Source organism: Homo sapiens, chromosome 14 (assembly GCF_000001405.40).
Source record: "Homo sapiens chromosome 14, GRCh38.p14 Primary Assembly".
Taxonomy (NCBI): Eukaryota; Metazoa; Chordata; class Mammalia; order Primates; family Hominidae; genus Homo; species Homo sapiens.
Genome location: NC_000014.9, coordinates 99,460,087 through 99,483,231, shown reverse-complemented (window position 1 = coordinate 99,483,231; position 23,145 = coordinate 99,460,087). Strand labels below are relative to the sequence as shown.

At 44.2% G+C, this 23,145-nt stretch overlaps 2 protein-coding genes across 12 annotated transcripts in view, besides 5 other annotated features; one reads left to right on the top strand and one right to left on the bottom strand.

The window, feature by feature from the left end:
- The window catches only part of CCNK (cyclin K), a 31,032-nt gene extending 29,209 nt beyond the window's left edge, over positions 1-1,823 (bottom strand). For 2 of the 3 annotated variants that reach the window (XM_047431839.1, XM_005268154.5), the window contains exon 1: positions 1,618-1,823. The gene's annotated coding sequence lies outside the window, so the exon portion shown is untranslated. The remainder of the gene's footprint in view (positions 1-1,617) is intronic. The other variant, NM_001099402.2, reaches the window with a different exon arrangement.
- The window catches only part of SETD3 (SET domain containing 3, actin N3(tau)-histidine methyltransferase), an 88,711-nt gene that overhangs the window by 3,227 nt on the left and 62,339 nt on the right, over positions 1-23,145 (top strand). For 3 of the 9 annotated variants that reach the window (XM_011537233.3, XM_011537231.3, XM_011537235.1), the window contains exons 1-4: positions 1,857-1,970; positions 17,419-17,529; positions 19,654-19,746; positions 21,892-22,040. In XM_011537233.3, coding sequence (XP_011535535.1) covers positions 17,427-17,529; positions 19,654-19,746; positions 21,892-22,040 — 345 coding nt within the window. In that variant the 5' untranslated portion in view covers positions 1,857-1,970; positions 17,419-17,426. Of the gene's footprint in view, positions 1-1,856; positions 1,971-2,372; positions 2,505-4,437; positions 4,568-7,884; positions 8,073-12,202; positions 12,207-17,418; positions 17,530-19,653; positions 19,747-21,891; positions 22,041-23,145 lie in introns of those variants that run through there. The other 6 variants (NM_032233.3, NM_199123.2, XM_017021699.2 and 3 more) reach the window with 5 other exon arrangements.
- Positions 1,563-1,932: an enhancer, noted in NCBI's record as "active region_9003". NCBI's record gives its function as "activates an Ori minimal core promoter by ATAC-STARR-seq in GM12878 lymphoblastoid cells {active_cell/tissue: GM12878}" and the evidence as "EXISTENCE:reporter gene assay evidence [ECO:0000049][PMID:35858748]".
- Positions 2,123-2,582: a silencer, noted in NCBI's record as "silent region_6063". NCBI's record gives its function as "represses an Ori minimal core promoter by ATAC-STARR-seq in GM12878 lymphoblastoid cells {active_cell/tissue: GM12878}" and the evidence as "EXISTENCE:reporter gene assay evidence [ECO:0000049][PMID:35858748]".
- Positions 2,693-2,892: a silencer, noted in NCBI's record as "silent region_6062". NCBI's record gives its function as "represses an Ori minimal core promoter by ATAC-STARR-seq in GM12878 lymphoblastoid cells {active_cell/tissue: GM12878}" and the evidence as "EXISTENCE:reporter gene assay evidence [ECO:0000049][PMID:35858748]".
- Positions 2,693-3,242: a biological region, named in NCBI's record as "H3K27ac hESC enhancer GRCh37_chr14:99946327-99946828".
- Positions 2,741-3,242: an enhancer, noted in NCBI's record as "H3K27ac hESC enhancer chr14:99946327-99946828 (GRCh37/hg19 assembly coordinates)". NCBI's record gives its function as "activates a minimal SCP1, AML or CMV promoter by ChIP-STARR-seq in naive H9 embryonic stem cells {active_cell/tissue: H9 hESC(naive)}" and the evidence as "EXISTENCE:reporter gene assay evidence [ECO:0000049][PMID:30033119]".

Sequence of the window (23,145 nt, the reverse complement as noted above, 5' to 3'; positions counted from 1 at the left end):
TCAGGGAATCAGCTCTCCTTTCCCAAGTACTCATAAACTTGTTGGCTCTTCCAACAAGATTCTAAAACAGATTATTAATAGGTTCCTAGTAGCCAAGAGCCATCGAATGGTTCTATGTGAAAACAGACATTTACCAGATTCTAGTCTTCTATCATTAACTGTACTTTTAGGATTTTTCAAAATCTAAGAATAACGATTTTATAAAGTCATCTGCAAATACTCTGGTATACAATTTACCTGAGCTTAAAAATATGATCACTCTGTAATCTCCTCAATTACCTTGAATTTAATTCCTCTAGATTTTTTTGTCCTTATCCAATTTTAAAGAAAACAAGCAGAAAACACTGTCCTCCCTTTCAGACACTCAGCAGAGTCACTGCTTTCAAATATAATGTCCTGAAATGAACTAGCCCATTTTATAGGCCACAGCTATGACCAATTTTTCTTTATGACATTCAATTTTAGAAACAGCATTTAAAATTTAAGAACCTCATTAACAACTCGAATAGTTTTTATTGCTTGTTAGTGCAAACTACATTTTCAAAATGGAACAAATTTAAACAGGATTTGCCCAGAAATCAACTAATATGCTTGAATAATGCATCACAATATAATCGAAATGAGATAAAAGAGGGAAAAAAACCCTAAAAGACACCAGCGGTGGTCACTCTGAATAAGACAATCTTGGATAATTATTATATTCATAGTCAAGATTATTTAACAGGTAAGCATCCTAAGGGCACTTTAATCCAAATGTCTATCAATACTACTACCACTACCATCATCCATCCATTCTTTCATTCAGCAATACAGAGGGCTTATTAAACGTCAGGCAGTGTTCTAGGCGCTGAAAGCTCCTCGCTTTCATTCTAGCAACATCATTCATACAAACCTTTAGCGGGCACCTACAACTGCAAGGCATTGTGCTAGGTATCTGTAAACAGCGATTTAGATCGAGATACACAAACATCACCAAGTTTCTCTTAAAAACACAGAAGACCACCCTTAAGAAATGCTCTTAGAAATAGTTCCTAACCTCAGATGACTTAGCGAAAGCTCCGTTTAACTGGCAGTCTAAATTTAGGGAGCATTACCGAGCCTATCTTGGGCAGACAATCGTTTAGGAGCTGTCACATAACCTCTAGACTTACGCTCCAATTTTCTAAAGAACAATTTCTCTCATAACAAACCAAATCAACCACCAGGAGCGGGTCCGTAAAGACGATGTCTGGGCAAGAACGAAATCTAATCCCGGAAGTGCCTTTTCCTCATCTTAGCCGCACCCTCGTTACGTGGCTCTCCAAAACTCCAAAGTCGGAGTACCCTAGACATGGAACAACCTCCAAAAAGTTTCAGGCCTAGCCAAGGTTGGGACTAATACGCCGCGAAATAATCGGGGAGATATGAGAAGTCTGTGGCTGTGAGACTGTGCGCGGTTAACACCGCTGCCCCTTTTGCCCAACCCCTAGAAAGTTCCCCAACTCTGACTGCCCCCCAGTGCGAGGGCCGCTACCAGTTCTAGGGTGAGTCCGGCCTCCCTGCCCCGCCCCGGCGCCTCAGACCCTCTCTACACGCCCGCCCCACAACCCCGCGTCGCCCGCAAAGTTCAATGTGTACCGGAGGTTAGCGGAGGGAGGCAGAATCCGGAAAGAGAGACTCCGCCAGTGGATAGCGGCGGTTGGCCATAACCTACTCCGACCTCCAGATACGCGGGAGGTGGGCGGCGCTGCCCTCAGTCGGTGGGTCACTCACCCCTCGCTTCAGGCAAGCCCCTCAGCGACGTCTCTCCTTGCCGACTGCGGCCATCTTGTATATGGAATGTCGGGGACCTACGTCATCACGCTGCGTCCTGAGACGCCACCAAGCGACCGGAGGGGCGGAGAGAGTAGGATGCCTGTCAACCAATGGGAAGAAAGCAGAGCTCTCAAAAGAGGAACGAGCCGCCGCTCTCCTCCCCGCCCGCCCCGCGGGTCAGTGGCTGCTGCTTACAGAGGGAGGAGCCAGCCACAGGGCCCATCCCGTCGGTCCCGCCCCTCGGGGCGAAAAGGCATTCTGGAGCAACCGAACCTGCTAACGGAACTTGGGCGCGTAGGCGGGGCCCGGGTCGAGATTCGTCCAATCAAAGCTCTGGCGGGGGCGAACGCAGCCAGTTGCGACATCGTGGTTGGCGGCGGCTGAGCCGGCCGCTCTTGCCCCCGGGAGCTGCCAGCCCACTGGCTGGGGAGGACCCCGAACGGAACGCCGGCTGGGTGGCGGGGCGGGGCCGCGCCCATGCGTCCGAAGCGTGGGCCAATGAACGGCGGCGGCTGCGGCCCGGGGGCGGGGTCCGGGGCGGGAGGAGAAGCGTTGGGCCGCGGTCGCGGGGCCGTCTCAGGCTGCCGTCCCGCCCCTCCCGTCCGGCCGCCGCCGCCGCCACCGCCGCCACCGCCTGGGGGTTGGTTGAGGCGGACGGCGGGGTCCGGGCCGGAGTACGTCGTTCCCGCTGCGCTAGGGGAAGCGGGCAGGTGAGTGCTGGCGGCGGTCTCTGCGCCCGCGCGGCCCGCGGGGGAAACTCGCGCCGCGTCTCCGAGCTCTGCGAGGCCGTCCCTCGCCCTGGCCAGCGCCCCTCGGCCGAAGTCCGGCCCGCGCCCCCGCCAGGGTCCCCGCCGGCCGCTGTGGCCCCGGGGCTTGAAGGGGCAGGTGTGCGCTCGGGGGCCAGGGCGAGGAGGGCCCGGCGGGGTCGGAGGGCGCCGGTCGGCCTCTGCCCGGGCGCCCTGCGGGGCGAGAGGCGCGCGCTCGCCGCTGCCCTGTCCCCTCTGGCGCCCACGCTCCCGGGCCCCGCGCCACCCGGTCTCGAGGTGGTGCCAGGTGCAGGCAGCGCTCTCCCCGAGCTTGCCCCGCTGTCCCCGGCCCTCGCGCCTGCTCTCGGGTGGGGCCCGGGCCCCTCGCGCTAGTCGGCTCGGCTCTGCGCGCGGCCGGGTCGCGCTCCCATTTCCTTCCTTCCTCCCGTCACCCCGCTGCTCGGGGAAGGCTGTGCGGTTTTATGTTCCTCTCTGCGAGTTCTCGGTGCCCACCAGGGTGCCCGGGGACCAGCCCCCGCCTCCTCCCGCGCCGTCCAGTTAGGAAGACGGACGTAGGAAATAGGTCGTCTTTCTTCCCACGCGCCCCTGGCCGTGCTCCACACGCGCAGTGCCCTACTAGGGAGAGGCAATTCGGTGCTTTAGAGTTTGTCATTCCGGCGTTAACTCTTCCTCCTCGTGGCTCCAGCCCGGCGATGCAACTCTTGTCTTTTCCCGGTCTCCACTTGGGAAAAGGAGCTGACAGTGACGCGCGCCCCTGGCTGCGGGGCTCACCCCTGCCCGGCCGGTGTTGGGAGGAGGGCATTTCAGTGTTGCAAAGGCATTCGCGGGTTAGGACCACTCGGACCGTGTTATTTTGCTTTTCTAAATAAATAAGGTGATGTTTCAAAAGCAAAAATACTTTTAAAGTATGCTGACAAATCAATTTTGCTTTTAAGAATCCTCGAAGAGTTACCCCATCTTCGTAGCCTGATTGTGGTGCTGATGAGGCCACTATAAATGCGTTTGTCAGAACTCAGAACCGGACACTGAAAAGTGTGAATTTTATCTTATGTAAAATATACCTCTCCCTCTCCCGTTTTTCTTCTTGAAATGACCTTGCCAGTATTTCAAAACTGAACTAACCAGTAATAATCTCGGAGAAGTGTTTATTATTTTAAGCGAATACATTTAACCCAAGAATATAGCAAAATAAAGCAGTCTTCCTCTCCACTGTTAAAATTTGCCAAGACTTGCTTGAACCTTGCTGTATGTACTGTGTTTATACGGGCTACCATGCGTGAAAGTCCAGCAGTACTGGATTAGTCCCAAGGGCTGCCGTGATTGATACTTTGGTGAAATTCCAACAGTTTACCGAGGAGTTTTTCTTCGGCCTAAGAAAGTAGTTTGCAAAGCCAAGTTCTCAAACAGCTACAGAACCTCTTTATTGGGACCCCAGACAACCTTGGATTTTAGCCTTCTGCTACCCCTTTCCTGTCTGCCCTCCAAGTGATTGTAAGTTAATATCTGAAATGGAACTGTAGTCTGAAGGAGTAAAATGGTTGCTTCTCCAGTGTGCTAACATCTCAGTGCTTTTTTTTCCTGGAATTGGAGTGGTGTTGGATTTGAAGATTAGAACATCTTATGTCTGTATGTACGGTTATAGCGAAAGCTTCTCGTAAGAGCACAGTGACTGTCAGTAAGAAAGTGATGGCTGCTGCGCTGCTCTTCCGTGCCGTGGACATTTAGGCCACATTTTAAATGATAATTAAGCTTTTGCTTTAGAAGCCACTGGATAATGAGAAAAATATGGAGGTGATATTTTTCCTATTTAAAGCTTAACCACTGGACAACTGTTTTGGTTTTGAGAGTTCTGATAAACGGTCACAACAGCCTCCTTGGAACACAGTACTCTCCTGCCTGGAGGAGAATGACAGGATGACGGCGCCGGGGAAGGTATGACCATCAGCGACGGAGGCTTGCTTGGAGTGAATATTTAGTAGACAATCATTGAATTCAATGAAAACCAGGTGCATAGTTTGTGCTGTGTAGAGTTGTAGTAAAAATATGAGCAAAAATCCTACCTCCAAGTCAGGGTTACTCTGAATGCTTTGTGACTAGATGTCAGTGTAGTTTGAGGCGTACCAGTTTTCTTCAATGTTTTAATTACATAGAGTCTTTTTTCTTATCACAAATCCGAAGTAGGGTTTAGAACTGTAACTAGTAATACTGTATCTTTCTTTTGTGTAGTTGGATGAATATCCTTCTCTGAGAGGTTATTTATCTTTAGAGACTGGTTTGCCTGTTCCCTGGCTGCTGTGCCTTGTGCTTCTGTTGAGGGTGGAGAGGAAGAGTTTCAAGTGTGTTTCTTTCCCTTGGACCGAAGTCCTGGGAATGGAGTGGTGACTTTGTTCCCTCAAAGAGAACTCGGAGTCATTTATTGCTATGGCATTAAATGTTTTTAACAGAACGGTGAACTTATCTTTATTCTTATGTTACTTTGGATGTTGCTTGTGGCCAGTTATAATATTTGCTTTCTCAATTACCTACCCTTATTTTTGGGCCCTTTTTTTATCAGTGAAAAATCTTTTGATTAGCCGTGCATCTTTTCTCTCCTGCTATAGTCATAGAAGTGTTTATCTGGCTAACAGTTTGTTTTGGGTCATATTTAACCAGTCGAGAGTATTAGAATAAAGAGTCTTGCTTTTTCAGTTTTCTATAGTTTTCACTTCTGTTGCCTTTACAATGGTTTTCTGTCATTGGATTTCCTTTTATCATCTCATTTTTCTATTCATAAATTGGAGAGGTTAACTAATTTGATATGCAAATAGAATTAATTTACATAATATTTACTCTCAAGGTAAAAAATTTCTATCAAAATATTAATATATATTAATATATTTTCCTATTACAAAGAAGTTGAGACTTGGCTTTTTTTTTTTTTTTGAGATGGAGTTTCGCTCTTGTTGCCGAGGCTGGAGTGCAATGTCGTGATCTCGGCTCACCGCAACCTCTGCTTCCTGGGTTCATTCTCTTGCCTCAGCCTCTGAGCAGCTGGGATTACAGGCATGCGCCACCACGCCTGGCTAATTTTGTATTTTTAATAGAGAAAGGGTTTCTCCATGTTGGTCAGGCTGGTCTGGAACTCCCGACCTGAGATGATCCGCCCACCTCAGCCTCCCAAAGTGCTGGGATTACAGGCGTGAGCCACCGCACTGGGCTGAGACTTGGCTTTTTAAAAAGTTACTTAATAGTCTTTTGAAAAAAAAATTAGCATCTGCAAGATTAAGAAGTCTTGCTTTTTAACTCAAGCCAGAGATTAGCTGTGTTGACCCCGTTTCCACTTGGGAGTCTCCTCTAAGTTTTGGATATAAACAGACTGTAAAAACGAGATAAAAACACAGATATTGAACAGTTTCGACTGAGATAAATTTGAATGGAAGAAAACTGATTCCAAATGATTATAAAATTCAAATACCAAAGTTAAGACTTTGCAATTTTTTTTTTCTTCTATCAAGTACTTTCCAAGTAGAAGTGAACTAGTGAGTCCAAACAGTCTTGGTTGACAATGAAAGACACATCTATCTTTGAAGTTAAGATTTTGAAAGGGATCTACTGATTACTAAGCCAAAGTGAATCATTAGCCTTTTGCAAGCCTAACCTCAGTACTGGGATGGGGAAGTAGGGGAGGGCAGAGGGACAGAGCAGGAAGAAATGTTTCCACTGTTTTTTAGAAGGACAAAAAAAATTGTCTAGAGAATGTAGATAATCAAGTGTCTACACGGAACTTTTTATTTTTAGTTTTTAATTGACAAAAATATATGATACATAGAACTCTTAATAAAATATACACTTAGGTTTATTACTGTCTATGATCCTGAGTTTCACGTTCCATTTTTTAAGAATACAATTCATCAGGACATAACAGGTCTAAGAAAGTCTTCCGACTAAATGGTTTACAATGTTCAGTCTCAGAAAATAGACATGCCTTTTCAATATCAGCAGTTTTCTATTACACATATTTGAGAGGAAGTAAAGATTAGTGTTGACAAATACTTATAAAAGCTGCTTTTACCATAAAATATTTACTAGTGTCTAATAACATTTTTGATTTGTTGTTTGTAAAAATTTAGCTTCGCTGCATGTCATGGTCACCTCATGGTTCTGCGTTTTTCCCTGCAACAAAAATGTGGCATTGCAGATATGGTGGACTGGATGGAAGCTCTTTTGGAAGTTTTGCCCATGTCCCAAATTTAACCTGCAGCTCCTCCTATGTATTTGGACAAAGCCAGCAAAATAACTATACTTTTAAAAGGCCAAAAAATAAAACCTTTACATGCGTATGTTTTATCAGTGCAAGGGAATAGTATTTTGAATATTAGCGATAACAGTGAACCTTTGGAGCTCTCATAAATGGGTTGGTTTTGAGCCGAACTCATGAAATATTATTATCAGTAAGATTTGTCATTGAGGTGTGCTGGTGAGGCTCTGACACAAACTGAGTCTATCATTTTGCATAAATTAATCAGTCTCCGTAAGCGTCAGCTTTCTCATCTGTGAAGGGGACTTGTTAATACCTATCTTATATTGTGTAAAATGCTTACCTCAATTCCTGATCATATAATAAATGCCCAAATGACATGATTGTGATGGGGACGATCATATTGGAGAACTTCCATAGGACACAGGACATGGCAAGGATGATCCTGAAATAACATGACAGCATGAATAGTTGCATTTAGGTTCAAAAACTCAGTTGTTGAATATAGCACATTTATCTTGCTGAAGATCACGAAAGGCTTTAGTTGATTACTGTCTTGTCCTAAAGGCTATGGGACCATGTTGCATCATCTTTGTGTTTGAGATTAGATTCTCAGGAAATGTGCAGGAATGAGGGAATGAATTCACTGGGCTCATAGAAAAGCTAGGGCAGTCTTAGGAATATTAGTCAAATTTCTTTGAGTTCCAGGAAGGTGGGTAGTCCATCTCAGAGCACATCTGAAGGGTTTTGTTGACTTAAAAAAAAAACAGTTCATTGAAGTATAATATGCTTAAGTGGTTTTGCTCACTTTTGAGAAATATGTAGTAATGAGGGGCACATTAAGCCTGGAGAAGACAAAACTTTGGGGAGACACAAAAGCTGACAGGTCAGAGAGGATGGTGAACTTCTCTGCAATATCGTACTGGAGGGGCTCACAAAGCAGGAGATTGCCTTGGAAGTGAACGTGCAGCTCTGCTGGCCGCCTAAAGGCGAAGCTTTGGAGCTGCCTTTTTCTCTTACTGGCAATCTGCCTTAGGCTGTGTTTGTTAATCAGGAATAACACGCTCTCTCTGTCCTGCCTGTCTTATATCCTTCTCAGACTTGGATCAGGTGAAGTACTGATCGTGACTGCTCCATAACATCCGGCACCATGATCTTAAACACGCGTGGGATTGAGAGCTACTATACATAACCCCAGAGGTCTCCTCTAATCCTGTTGCTCCTTGGTTTTAGAATCCAGAATCCTCATGTTAAGGAATGTGGGTGGTTTGAAGGTAATTTCTTGACGGATTACAGCTGTTTCTTCACACATAACATTGTCTTTTTTATTTTAGAAAGATATAATAGGAAATGATTATTCATGATACCCAATGATTTTTTGCTTTACAAAAGGTTTTTTTGGTAACTTCCATTAAATAGGAACCTCATGTTAATTTATTTGCAACTTCATTCAATGGCAGTTTAAAACTAAAACCTACTATGTAATGAAAAGTCAGTCAGAAATGTTTAGTTATTTCTAAAATTATTGTGTTAGTGGAAAAATAGCAAAAAAAAAAAATTGCGAAAAGCAACAACTGTGCTTATTTATTTATTTATTTATTTTTGAGACACAGTCTTGCTCTGTGGCCCAGGCTGGAGTGCAGTGGCACGATCTTGGCTCATTGCAACCTTTGCCTCCTGGATTCAAGTGATTCTTGTACCTCAGCTTCCCAAGTAACTGGGACTATTTTTAGTAGAGACAGGGTTTCACTGTGTTGGCCAGGCTGGTCTTGAACTCCTGACCTCAGGCGATCCGTCCGCCTCGGCCTCCCAAAATGCTGGGATTACAGGCATGAGCCACTGTGCCTGGCCAACAACTGTATTTTTAAAATCTCAAGTTATAATACTTACATGGGACAGCCCAAATTGTTCTGTATCAAGATTAAATTTTGATCAAATTAAAATTTTATTTGCATGCAATTTATAGATCTTTATACATCTTGGTACTTAAGTAGTTACTGAGTTGAAATTAATTCCACCTTCTTCCCTGCCTGCTTGCCTTGACTTCTTGGTACTTTTGAATTGTGGCACATCAGTTCTTTTATTTATTTAATTTATTTATTTATTTTTGAAACAGAGTCTCACTCTGTCGCCCAGGCTGGAGTACAGTGGCTGGATCTCAGCTCACTGCAATCTCCACCTCCTGGGTTTAAACATTTCTCCTACATCAGCCTCCTAAGTAGCTGGGATTACAGGCCTGTGCCACCATACCAGGCTAATTTTTGTGTTTTTAGTAGAGCTGGCGGGGGTCTCATCATGTTGACCAAGTTGGTCTTGAACTCCTGACCTCAAATGATCCACCCGCCTTGGCCTCCCAAAGTGCTGGGATTGCAGGTGTGAGCCACTGCCCCTGGCCCAGTTCCTCTTTTAATTAGAAGATTGGAATGATAGGTGCCGGTTAGCCGTGTAAACTGGTATGAGTTGGTATGGCATGGCGCTGCTACTAGGCCCTGCTACTGTGCAAAGCCAGAACACGTTTCTGATATGTATAAGTTTCAGCTAACACGGTACCATGGCACTTTATCGGTATCTGTAGGAAAGGAAACATTGTACAATTAAATCCTTTTCAGTTTGGGAGTGCCTTCATTTTCCTAACTCGTCATCCTGTAATTTGTGTATTTAATTCTGAATGTAGTAATCTGATCCTGATGGCCGGCAAAGTATTTTAGTAAGAGTGAGAAAAGAGTATTTCCTATTCTTCCTACATGAAGATTAGGCCCTCACACTCTCTCGAGTGTGCTTTACAGCTGAGAGCCTGAGGTGGAGGAAGCCATCCTTAGGACCATTCCCTCCCTTAGTCAACCCAGCTGTGAAGTTGGGTCAATGCAGGATACATTGAAAAACAGATGCTGTGCTTGAGCTAAGGTTTCCTGGATAAATTGCCAGATAAGTGTAATCAAAAATGTTTATTCTAGTTCTGTTTAGTTGAAAGCAGCATTTTCGAGGGAACTCAAGAAATACACAAATAAATATCCTTTCCATTTAGAGTGTTTGAAAAAAAATGCAAGTGAATTACATCCAAATCAGTTCATTATGTGTGAACTATACTTTGTAAAAATGGGTTAGGTATTTAGCACCCCTTACCCCACCTCCGCTCCCACTGCCCACATTAGCCAAGGTCACTAAATGTGCTTTCTTGTTTCTCCTGACCCATTTATTCCACGATTCAGATTCGATGGAAAAGAATCGCTTGATTGGCAGAGGTGGTGGTTGATTACAGATGCCCCTGTATATTAGTCAGCACTTTAAATAATAATTGAGTTTGTCATTCATTTCTCTGTCTTCTAAAGTGTGTCTTGTCTGTTAGATGGGGAGGTTGTTGGTGGACTTGTAAGTGGTATGTGGTGTTTTAAAGGGCCAAAGTTTGAAGATTCTGTAGATTTTAAAAATATCTTGATGGTGAAGAAATGTAGATATGTGTGAAACTCTTGGCTTAGCTGTTCCTTTTTATAGATACCCCTTCCTCTGAATGACTAACTATAATTGTATAATTCATGTATCAATCTTGTATTGCTACTCTTCGTATTTTCTTTTGTCTTAAGTATTATTTAAATCATTTTTTTGGTCCTATTTTCCTGTTTTCTTTAAGATAATTCAGTAAGTATTTGTAAATTATACCTGATTTCAGTCTAAACTTTGTGGAAAAAAATTTTTGAGTTAGCATTGTACCTTCTGGCTAATATCTGTAATTTAACTTGAGTTCGTATGTGTATGCACATATAATTAATTCAGTATGCATTTATATTTTCCTAATATAAATATTGGAAATAATTATTGAAAATAAACATTTGGTCTTTGTGGGAAATTGATGAATGTTTAATATATTTTTTTCATGAAGAGCATGAAGTATGTTCAGAATACCTATTTGAGTGTCTCATTTGTTTAAACTTGTAATTTAGCCCCAAATTCAGCTGAAATGATCATGAAAATTATTCACGGTATATAACAGACTTTTGAATCATAAATGAAAAGGGTAGTTATTTAAATCCATAAGGTTGGGGAACTTACATGGCATGAATCTTTTTTGATTGCTAAAAGAAGGCAATATTGGGTGAATTTAGGAAACCACACATACTGGATACTAACACCTCACACTGAATCTTAAAATTTAGTCATCCTTCTTGAATTGTACTTTATTTCTTGCCCTTCTATGTTTAGTTACTTATGTGTTTTAGGAATTATCCATGCTGCTTTGAGTGTGAGTCTTGGTTTCCCAGCCTCATCCTTGGGAACTGCAGGCCTGGTTTTGTCCAATTTTGTTGTCTTCTGCAACAGCGAACATAGTATAGGCAGAGAGACGTTGTGCAGCTTAGTTTAATCAAGCTTGCGTATACTTAGAGTCCACCTATATGCTGGAGCTAATGCAGGATTTCAGGTTTGAAGCTATGGGTCTGCTGCTTGGCAGCTGTGGTCTCTTGGCCAAGTCACAGCCCTCTCTAAGCCTCCTGACAACTGGCTGTGGTCACTGCCGGCCTCAGTGGGCTATGGTGGGGATGCAGGGAGGTCATGGGCGGATGCTCGTGTCCTTGGTCACAAGTGCCCATGGAGCTTTTCCCTGTGCTTGGGCCGTAAGCTTTCCTTTTCTATCAGAAACAGACTAATTCCTGCTTTATTGCTTTCTAAAGACCAATAATGCTTTAAAAATTCCAGTGTGTTTTTCAGAGTCTCTCTTATTAAATGTAATGTCCTAAAGCTTTTCTATCTAAAACTGGATTTTGAAAAGAGATCATCTTTAAAAAAGTTTTTTTTGAGACAGGATTTTGCTATGTTACCCAGGCTCCAGCCCAATGGCTATTCACAGGTGTGATCATAGCTCGCTGCAGCCTCGAACTCCTGGGCTCAAGAGAGCCTCCCACCTCAGCCTCCTGAGCACCTGGGATGATAGGCATGTGCCACTATGCCCCACAGAACCGTTTTTTAAGTGTGATATTACATAAGCGTAACCCTAACCCCTGTCCTTCATGGTATGGCCAATCTATCTCTAATTATCTACATCTCTCTATATAAATTTGTGTTTTTACTTCTAAGAATTATCATAGTTCATTAGTAGAATTAAATATTCAGTAAATGTTTCATTTTGACTACTGTTTAATCACTGTTGGGAGCAATGTGAAAATTGGTAACACCAATATATTCAAATATACTATCCAAAGATTTTCTTTTACTCAACAAATTTTGACCTTCTATGTGTCTGTGACACTATATTAGATCCTATGGGTAATATAGAGATGGAAGCTTTGGTTTTTTTTCTGCCACAAGACAGTGGGTAAAAGAGTTTAGACTGCAGTGGGTGAGGTCACAGAGGTTCAGGGACTGTGCTGTGGAAGTGTGGTGAGGAGACCTTGTTAGTGAGGTGGGGTTTTAGCCAGGTAAATTTTAGGTGGAGGACCCTGATATACTCACCAAGGGGTCAGGGCATTTCGGCTGAAGTAACAGAGCGAAGAGTGTGTATGTCAGGGAATGACAGCCAGGCCAGGGGGCTGAGGGAAGGTGGGATGTGGGGAGCTGGCAAACCCACATGAAAACCTGATGTTTTAGGGCTGAACGGAGTACATATAGGGCGTCTGCCTTCAAGGTGCTTTGAGTTAGGGGTGTCCCAGAAATACTAGAATTAGTGCCAAACCATACTGAACCCAGAGACAAAGGAATCTTACAGACAGTGATGGTTCCAAGTTCATAGTAGATGGGTTACAGAACTGGTACCGAGAAACACTTGCCTTCAGTGACTTAAGTTCACGCCCGACTGCCTGGGATTCAGGGTACAGGGGACTGAGGAGAGCCCTCGGACAGGGTAGACCCAGCCAGTGGGGAGGCTTACTGGAAGAGCCCTGGAAACTTGTTTTTGGGGGGAACAGATTGAGGAGATGGCTTGGGTCTAGGATCCTGTGCCCTAGGGAGATACATTTACTGGAAGAAGGATAGGCAGCCCCCCTGCCCCCATCCTTAATTAAGACAAGATTCTTTCTGCCTAACCTAGGCTAGCCACTTTTTCTACCTTATAGCCTGTATCCCCGTGGGAGAGAAACAGCCCAAAGAGGTTGCCAAAAGACAGAATCCCAATATAAGCCAACTCTTTAGCATCTGTAATAACCTTGAGTTTGACCCTTTCTTACTGACTTTGTTGGGCGTGAGGGTTGCATGGAAGAGTCTAGAGTTTCCCTTAATGCCACAGGGCACATTTCGGTAGAGCCTCAAAGTATGTGAAAAATCTTGCCAGGAGAAGACAAGGGGACAGGCAGTGGGATAGCTGCATTCCAGAAAAAGGGAGGAACATGAGCAGTCCCCTGGAGCTGTGTTGTGTAAAGGTAGGATGAAGCTGGACATGTAAAATAGAGTGAGGCAGTTCAGTCCTCGAAGACCTTGCTAGGGAGGTTACGCATTATCCCGTGAGCTGTGGAAAGACGTGTGAGCGAAAGAAACCTACACAGTGTAGAATTCCACTTATATGAAGTTTAAGAATAGGCAGAACTAATCGGTAATAGAAGTTGAAATGTGGGCTACTGGGGGAAGGACTGGTTGTGAAAGGGTTCGTCAGGACTGCTGGCAAGGACTGGTGTGTTTGCTGCCTTCTGCAAGGCTGGGGCCTTGCATGCATGGGGATGAGTCCATGAATTCGTGCACTATGCGGTTTGTAGGTTTCTCTTTTTTTTAGTCAGGGTCTCCCTCTGTCACCCAGGCTGGAGTGCAGTGACGCCATCACAGCTCATTGCAGCCTCTGCCTTCTGGGCTGAAGGGATCCTCCCACCTGAGCCTCCTGAGTATCTGGGGACTACAGGCTTGCGCCACGGTGCCCAGCTAATTTTTATATTGTTTTGTAGAGACAAGGTTTTGCCATGTTTTCCAGGCTGGTCTCAAACTCCTGGGATCAAGCAATCCACCTGCCTTGGCCTCCCAAAGTGCTAGGATTATAGGCATGAGCCACTACGCCCAGCCTATGCAGTTTGTATTTTATACCTCAATTTATTAAGGCTGACTGTTGACATTGTGGTCGGGGAGGACTTGTAGGCAGGGAAATGAATCACGAAGGGATTGAAAGAGCTGGAGATGAGGGTCTTAGCTAGGAGTGGCTTCAGTGACTGCATAAACATCACCCAACAGGACTTTTGAAGATTGCGTTCTAGCATATCTGCCTTCCCAGGGGCTAATGTACTGGTGTGTTTTGAAGTTACACCTCTGCTGTAATTATACACCTGTTTGTTACTCATTCTAAGAGCCAGCAGTTTTCTGGCTTAAAAAAGAAATCTTGAGAACAATTGGAGTTACAAGTACTCGACTGTAGAATTACTGTCAACGGAATGTATTTTGTTTTCAAATCATTGTAACCATATTTTTAATGGTCTGTCACGCGGAGCAGGAATTAGACATTTCCTGTCTGTTCCAAGGGGATGGAAACCTGGGTAGAAGCTTCAGAAATGAGGATTGTAACCTGACCTAAGACCTGTGCAGATGCTCTTCCCTGGGAGCTCAGGGTGGCATCCTCTGTGTAGCACCTGCCATGTGTTGAGGCCTAGGCTGTATGTCCTCAAGGAGCCTGTTACCTGAAGGGATGCTGGTATGTGAGCACGTCTTTTAGTACAGTGGGGCCCAGCAATAATGGGAGAACATACAAGGAATTGCAGAGGTGCAGAGAAGAGAAGATTGTGACTAGGGGGACCAGGTAGACTTTAAGGGGATTCCTGGACAGCATTTTTAGAGAGAACCAAGAGTTAGTGAATAAGTGACTAAAATATTACAGTCAAGGGGTGAACGGGGAGGCAGAGATAGGAGGTACATGATGACGTCTGTAGAGGGACTGGGAGCCCTTGGTGTTGCTGGGAGGGTGTTTTACATATTTTTGCTGGTTTCCTTTTATTCCAGGGTGACTGACCCTGTATATTTTACACTGATTTTTAGGAGACTTATTAGATTAACATGTTACACATTATTCTTTATACATTAGATACATAAGAGAAGATAGCAATGTTAGCCTGTTAAATAATGTGATTTCCTACTATTTAGGGTGGTGGCAGCGTGAGGGTAGATTTAAGCAGCAGGGACAGGCTTGGGCAGGGAGATGTACGAGACTAGTGTTAGGGTCTAACCATGAGGACTCGTTCAGGAGGTGCAGGAGGAAGTGGCTGGAGCTGCCTAGGTGTGGGCTGAGTGGCTGCTGGCAGGGTTGTGGCGGGGTGTGGGGCCATATCCCATGGTATTTGATCTGGAAGACCTGCTGCCATGTACTTTTTTTTTTTTTTTTTTAAATCTGTATTTAAACAGAGGCAGTGTGGTAGTGGTTCTGGGTTCAGATTCTAGCTGTACCTCTTACCTGATGCATGACCTTGGACAAAGAGAAGGGACTTAACCTTTCTGACAATGTCATCTGAAAGATGAGGATGGTATCTACTGCTTAAAGTGCGAGGAAGATCAAATGAAGAGCTCTGTCTTAGTCCAGCACCTGGCAGAGGGTAAATACTGAGCTCCAGGGAACAGCTGCTGTTACATCAATGAGCAACTGGAGTTGGGTGGATAGCTGAGAGAAGACTTTGGAGGAGGTGAGGGGCTGCAGGCAGAGCGAATAGAGCCTGTTTTGTAGCTGTTGGTGGGCACCCTGTGAGGGCCGGTGCAGAACAGCCCTGTCCCAGGCTCACTTACTGTTAAGAGAAGGGAAAGGGTCTTGGAGCTCCTCATCAAAGTGACGTTCTTGCCTCGTTTACAGGCTCCCACAGCAGAAGGTCTTTCAGGCAAGGCTGAAGGGAGAGGCCAGCTAAGCCATTGCTGACAGGATGCTTCTGCGTCTCCTCCTGCCAAGCCAGCAGACCCACTATATTTGGAAGTGTGATTAACGTCCTTATTACCAGACTCCTTGGTGGTTTTAGTTATTTTCAGGTCAAGTTCGATGGTCCTCCAGAGATGCCCTCCGCAGATATGGGAAGCCTGAAATGCCCAGAAGGGTGGAGGTGCTGTGTCCAGGCTGTGCCCTTGCTCTTGGCTGTGAGCCAGAACCATGGGGAGATTTTTTTCTCTTCTAAGAAGACATTTCTTAAGCATAGGAAAAGGTGCTTAAGCTGTCTGTCATCCTGCCCTCCCCTCACTTAAATTTTCTGCTTTTGATCACAGAAAAAAAATTCCTTGTATTGCTGCAAAAGTTTTATGTATTTTTACCAGTTTCCTTTTATTCCAGGATGACTGACACTGTGTATTTTACACTGATTTTTAGAAGACTTATTATATTAATGTGTTACACATTATTCTTTATACGTTAGATACATAAGAGAAGATACACACGTTAGCCTGTTAAATAATGTGATGTCCTACTGTTTTAGCACATGGCCATATTTGCATGGACTCAGTTACAGCAGAGTCAATGATCATCTGTATAGTGGGAGAATATGTTTTAAACCTTTGTCCTAGCATAGTTCTTCACATGGTGATAGTTACCACTTTTTGTAAAAAACAAATGGACCAAAGTCTGCTTTTTGATTCTCACTTGAGATAAAGTGTAACTGACTGGGGCTCCTGGAGGCCATCCTCGTGGTGGTTTGTTATTCATTAGCTTATGGATCGCCCTACCAGCTTCTTGGCTGGACACTTTTTCCATCTTCCTTGGTCATGATCTTAGCCCCTTGTCTCTGGAGAATCAAAGCCAGACTCCTCTGGCAGTGACTATCACCCTGTCTTGAGTGGCTGCCTCGCTAGGCTTCCCTAGAGACCCCCTCTCCAGCCGGGTTCCCTTCCTCACTGTGCTTCCCTCACGCTTCTAGTCCTGTCCCTGTCTTTGAATGCCCCCCCCCCCCCCCGCCATTCTTCACACATCCATGTCCCTTACTTTCTTTGAGACCTATTGTTAAAAGCACTTGCAAGCAAGCATTATCTCATAGGGTCTTTACCCAGGACACCATGGCGTGTCCTATACCACATGGTCTCATCTGCGTGTGAAAATATGCTCATCATTTCTCACATGCCCGCAGAGGACCCGTGTGTGGCACACTGGAACGCGACGGGAGACCTCGTTCAAGTCCCGGGTCTGCCATCAGCTTCCTGTGAAATCCCAGGCAAGGTGCTTGGGATTTCCCATGGAGCAAAATGCAGGAGTTAGACTAGCTCGCCAGAGTTTTTTCCAGCTCTAAAACGTCTTCAGCATTTGTCCAGAGAGTGTGATCAGTTGCTTATGATACAGTTATGGTTAATGGGAAATGATTATTTTAAGGCAAAGTGGGGAGAGAATATATAGGTCTTTATGCCCATATGTGTATGATGTATGCATGGGTTTTATCTCTCTAGTATCCTGGAATATGTTAGTCTGCACAGTGAAATCTATGTAATTAAAAAAAAATCTAGAGTAAAATTTGCTCTACTATAGTTTTTGTAGGTGAAAAAGAACGAACTTTTCTTCCAGAGACTACAAAGCAGATTTTTTTTTTTCCCATTTGAGAACCTCTAGATACTAATACTACACATTTCTTTTTCTGGAAGAAAACTTCATGTAAGGTAAGATCTTAGCCTCTGAAGACTAAGACACTGCCATGTGTTGGACATGTTTTATTACTTGATTTTGTTCTTTGGTAATGTAATTTTTTTCTCTTTTCTTTCTCTTCTCTGTAGTCAGAAAAATGGGTAAGAAGAGTCGAGTAAAAACTCAGAAATCTGGCACTGGTGCTACAGCAACTGTGTCACCAAAGGAAATCTTGAACCTGACCAGTGAGCTGCTGCAGAGTAAGTCCTCCTCTGGGCTCTCCCTGCCTTGATGTGGTGGCTGTGCCTTTTTCTTCTTTGTCACCAGAATGGGGACGCGTGCATCAGACAAGCTGGTATTCAGGTCCAAGCTTATTAGCTGTGGGCCTGGGCGAGTCACAGAGGTTCCCAGGCTTGCAGTCCTCACCTGTGAGGATGGAAACACCCGTCAGAACTGTGTGGCTGTTAACAAGGCTTGGGTGAAGTAATTGTGAGCTTCCATGGCACAGTCACCTGGAACATGGTCTTCCCTGAGGACCTGTGGGCGAGAAGAAGCTCTACTGCTTTTTCACAGTGTGCCGCTCGGCAGATTACTGAACCCTTCCGAAACTCAGTGTTCTTGTCGTAAACATAGATAATAACTGTCTCAGGGAATGAGCCAAGGGCCTTGTGAGATGTGGTGTGTGAAGGTACTTCACGGGCTGTTGGCCCAGGGGAGTCCAGCGTGCCTCTTGGAGACCTGGCCTTCAGAGCTCTGCCCCTCACTGGAATGGCTCGCCTTTCTTTTTGGTGATTCAATTAACAGTGCTTCTGATTTTTTTTCTTTTTTAAACAGGGTCCCGCTCTCTCACCCAGGCTGGAGTGCCATGGCACTATGACGACTCACTGCAGCCTTGACCTCCTGGGCTCAAGTGATCTTCCCACTTCATTCTCCTGAGTAGCTGGGACTACAGGCCTGTGTCACCACGCCCAGCTAATTTTTTTGTAGAGGTGAGGTTTTGCCATGTTGCCCAGGCTGGTCTTGAACTCTTGGGCTCGAGAGATCCTCCCACCTCTGCCTACCAAAGTGCTGGGATTATAGGCGTGAGCCACTGCACCTGGCTGTGTATCTGATTTTTACATGCTGTAGTTTGAGAGTTCTTAGTTTAAGGAAGTGAAATATCTATTAAGTGCCTCTACTTGTTTTAGCAAGTTAGTGTAATTTGGTAACTTTTTAAAATTATGAATTTGAATTGGTGCAATTAGTGCCTTGGCTGTAGCTGTGGTCACTCCGTTGCCCTTTGTCCATGTTTAGATTATGTGGCAGGCTAAACCTCAAGTAAAAATGCAGCTTTCCCTTTGAGACAGAAAGCAGGCCGCAGCCAAGTTGGAGTCAGGTCCCTCTCGAGTGCTGCCCTGGACCCTACTGGCCGGTGGAGTGTGGCTGTCCTGCCCATTCCTCGCTGAGCTCCCCTGCCTCTGGCAGCTTGAGGACAGGCTCGCTGCTGCTTCATCTTTGAGGCCTGTTCCAGGCCTCAGTGAGTGCTTATTGTTGGAGAATGAAGTAAGACTGGCTACCCTTCATAGTTAAGACTCAGCGTGTGTCTAGTTATTGTTAGTTATTTGCCACATATACTCTTTTAATAGAGAGCAAAGGGGCCCCAAAGGTTAAGCAGGAGTGTGGGAAGGGGCTGTCTAAACCAATGCAGTTGTGTGAAAAGAAAGAGCTGCCAATAGGCGGGGTGCCCAGTGTGCAGTCTTTCAAACTCACACCTCAGCCTCGGGTGTTGGTCTTTTGGTTCTGGCCCCACAGTGGAATCTTGGCTTCTTTTTTAGCAGTGACTATGCCATCTCATTTTGCAACTCCCCCAGACTGCTGAATATAGTGCCGTACACATGGATGTGAAATGTTTGTCGACTAATTGTCCTTATGTCCAATTTAACTGGTTCCCTTAGGGAATCAGTGTTATGGGGTTTAACTAAAAAGAAAGGTTGACTTTTACTATTAACTTTTACTATTAACTTCTTTTTGCCATATAGAAGAGTTTTGGGGGGATAGTTTGCATTTTAGCTTAGCTTTTTATCATAGATTTTCCTGTTAGTAAGTATATTCTAAAAAGAGTTAACTAAGAATAAGGTGGATGTGAGCTAGGTGCTTGCTCAGTGCTCTCTCTTGGGTACGTTAAGTGGGGGATGTTTTTATGATGCCCCAGGGTTTGTCTGCTTTGAGAAGTGTACCTGCCTTGTACTTCTCACATTCATTATCATGGCTGTCATATGTCTGTCTTTTAAAAATAAACCAACCCCAGAACAGCAACAACAAAGTCCAAATCCTCTTTCTTGTGCAGACTAGTAGGTTAAGTTGAAAGAGAGAAGTGTTTCAGTACCATGCCTCTTATGTTACAGAATGCAGCAGTCCGGCGCCTGGCCCAGGAAAAGAGTGGGAAGAGTATGTGCAGATCCGGACTCTGGTTGAGAAAATACGGAAAAAGCAAAAAGGTAAAATTGCTAGAATGATAACTGTATTTTAATAATGTCATGTAGAAACTTGATTAGGTCAAAGGGTTGACGAGTAGTAAAGGTCTCAGCATCATTGGTGTCACTCTGAAAGGTCTTGTACTGGGGCTTGCAGACCGGGAGAGAGAGCAGTTAGCGGGATTTCTCCCCTTTCTGAGATGCTATTACCTGCTTCGGAAAGGGTGAGAATGTTGAGCTTTAGGAGAATAAAATGTTTGTATCTGGGTGCTAAAATGATACAATTTTATTTATTTACATTTTATAAAGTATTATACCGTTATTTCCTTTTGAGTTTCAGGACAGTGCATATAGTGTATATCGTCAATAACAAATAAATGCTGATTGGTTAATGCATTAGCAAGGTTTATAATGAACTCACACACATCTCAGTTAAATAAGAGGTGTGGTCATATTCCTTAAGCTGTGTTTTTACAGGACGTATGCAGTCGCCATTGTAATGATTCTCATCCAGGCTGGCGTGGGGCTAAGTGTGAGTTTGAAAAAGCTCATTCACTATACCTATTGTTTTTGTTCTGTAAAGCACAAAAAGTAAAGATTATTATGCAGGACCACATGGAAGGTAGAAGCAGAAAACATCCTAAGGAGCATGCATTGGAATGTGGGGCCCTTTCTTATTGTCATGAAGGGCCTCAGGAGAGGGTTTGTTTTTTATTTGCTCTCTTTAAGTAGTGGTTTTATTGCTCTTCCATACACATCTCTAAACATGTAGTCTTCAGTTTAGATGGTCTCAGACTCCAAAATGGTGAGTTCATAATGGGTGTTTTCAAACAGGTTCCTTCATAATGGGTTTATTTGCACTAAATAGGAGTCTGTGCTAATCCTTTGTCACCAAGTGGGTAGCGCCTTAGTTTCTCTTCTGCGTAGATACTGTTTACTATACCTGACACTGAGGGTAAAGCATTTGCCAGTTCTCAAGGAGTGAATAGGAAGTTCCGTCTTTGAATATTCCTCATTCTGGTCATTTTCGCCATTTAGCAGGTATCTTCGCATATCCAGCATGCCCTCTTCACATATCAGGTTGACTGTTAATTATGCTGTGGTAAGATGGCCACAGGCGCCTGAGCTATGTGCCACACCCAGCTTCCTCATAGTAAAGTTCCTGTTCCCCTCCTTTTATTCATCCAAACAGAATAGTTTTTTCTATGCATGTCTTTTCATCTTTTTGACTACATAGGACATGCTGAAAAGTTCAGAAATTAATATAACAGATGTCCAAGAATCTGCTACCCCAGCTGAGCACATGTCAAAGTTGTATTCTCATTGTCCTTTCTTTTATTCTCACCCACTGATCAGCTTTCCTTTCCCTTCCTCAGCCCTTGGTTTTGTTTTTGTATTTGTTTTTAAGAAATAAAACATCACAGATACAGCCAAAGCCTCACATTTTCATCCCCTTCCATTCCCTCCCTCCTTGCAGGGTGTTCATCTTCACTGTGAATGTTTTCTACTTCATAAATAACCCCATAAAAATATATGGTTGTAATTGATATTTGAAAAATTTACATAAATGGTGTCATATTACGTGATTTTTTAAAAGCCACTGTGGTACATTTAGTGTTATACTTATGTTGATACACATAGCTCTAGCTCATTTAAATTGCCTTACAGCCTTCTGGCTTACAGCTCTACAGTTTTGTGTTCTTAGAATCAGGGCTGTGGGGCTCATCCTTTCCCATGTCTCCTTGTGCACATACGCGAGCTACTCATTTTTGTTTTAATGGAAATTTTGTTAAAGCAAATGTGAACATGAGAGGTGGCATGTTTGACTTTTAAGGAGAAAACTGCTCTGTAAATCATAGTAGTGGTAATAGAAGCTCTCTGCCCTTTGCCATCGTATTACCTAATAGTACCTAATAGTCAATATTTATATTACCTAGTGTCAGTATATATTTCACTGTAACTGACAGGGAGTTTAGGATTTTAATTCTTCTTCCCTGTCACCAGTTAAGGTATGTACTGTGACCATCTGGTGATTAGTTTTGATTTCAAGATTGGCGTGTTAAGACTATTTCCAGTGTTAGTTATGGCCTGTTTTTATTTTCTGAGAGACGTGTGAATGATATGTGTCCTAAAAGTAGCTCTTGTTTTCTAAAACGTGGATTAATATAGGTCTGTCCGTTACTTTTGATGGAAAAAGAGAAGATTACTTTCCTGATCTAATGAAATGGGCCTCTGAAAATGGGGCTTCTGTCGAGGGTTTTGAAATGGTTAACTTCAAAGAAGAGGGCTTTGGTTTGAGAGCAACAAGAGATATCAAGGTGAGTTTATAAAATGTTGGTCTCAAGGGGTCTATGTGTTTGAACTGTGGTGTGCTGTAGAGGGCGCAGGGTGAAGAGGTAGACGTGTGGTGGGGGAGTTCTAGTTCTGAGCCTGTGGGCAGATAGGCAGCCTGGAAGGGCCTTGGGCTCATGTTCTAAGCAGCTCCTCCCACCTTATCCTCCTGGGGAGCCAAGTTGCTAATCAGTGACTGGGGCAAGTCAGTTCACATTTCTGAGCCTCTGTTAGGAGACCATAGAACATGCCTCACAGGATTTTGAGATTTACCTAAAGATAAGGAGGTGGACTCATGGTTTGGATTTTGTAACTTACTGGAGGTGAGTGGGTGGAGGACTGGCGGTGTGGGTATGCCTACTAGTGTCTGAAATGGATGACTATGAGGCTGAAGGTACTAGGAGCTCACTGAAATGGCAATACCAGTGGCAATAGGGAGAGGAGAGAGAAACAGCCACCTACTAAGGAAGAAGGGCTTTTTCTCCCCTCTTGGTTCTTGGTTCTTCTTTCCACATGAAGGGAGCAGCAGTCACTGGCCATGCCTGGCCTCTTCTCACCCCTCACTCATGTCTCTTCTAAGAGGAGGCACTCCTTCATCTGTTGGCCAAGTTTGGGAGAAGGAACTGGACTTGGCCTTTTTCTCGATGGGAGCTAGTTGCCCGTATGCATTCATTCCACTCTGCTCTCTGCCCTGGAAGCTTTGCAGGGGCAGGCCACATGTGGGGAGGGCGGTGGGGATCCAGCTCTGCCTGTAACTAGGTGGGGGAGTCTGTCTAATTCTGGGATTCAGTAGGTGATATTTTGGGTGACCATCTGTTGTATTCTATCTCTCTCTCAGTTGCTTCAGAACTTGGGTGGAGGAAGGGGTGTTATTTGGGCCCCCTCAAACCTCCAGCAACATTTTTGGCTAAGTTGTAGTTAACCTTTCATTGATAGATTGATAAATCACATGCTGGTATATTAGATACCTGTTAAATGTCTACTGTGTGAATGGTAGTATCTTGCTTCCAAAAAAACCAGTCTCTTCCTTCATGATGCTTATAATCTATATAGTAAGGGACAAGACAGGTACAAATAACTTAATAGTTGACA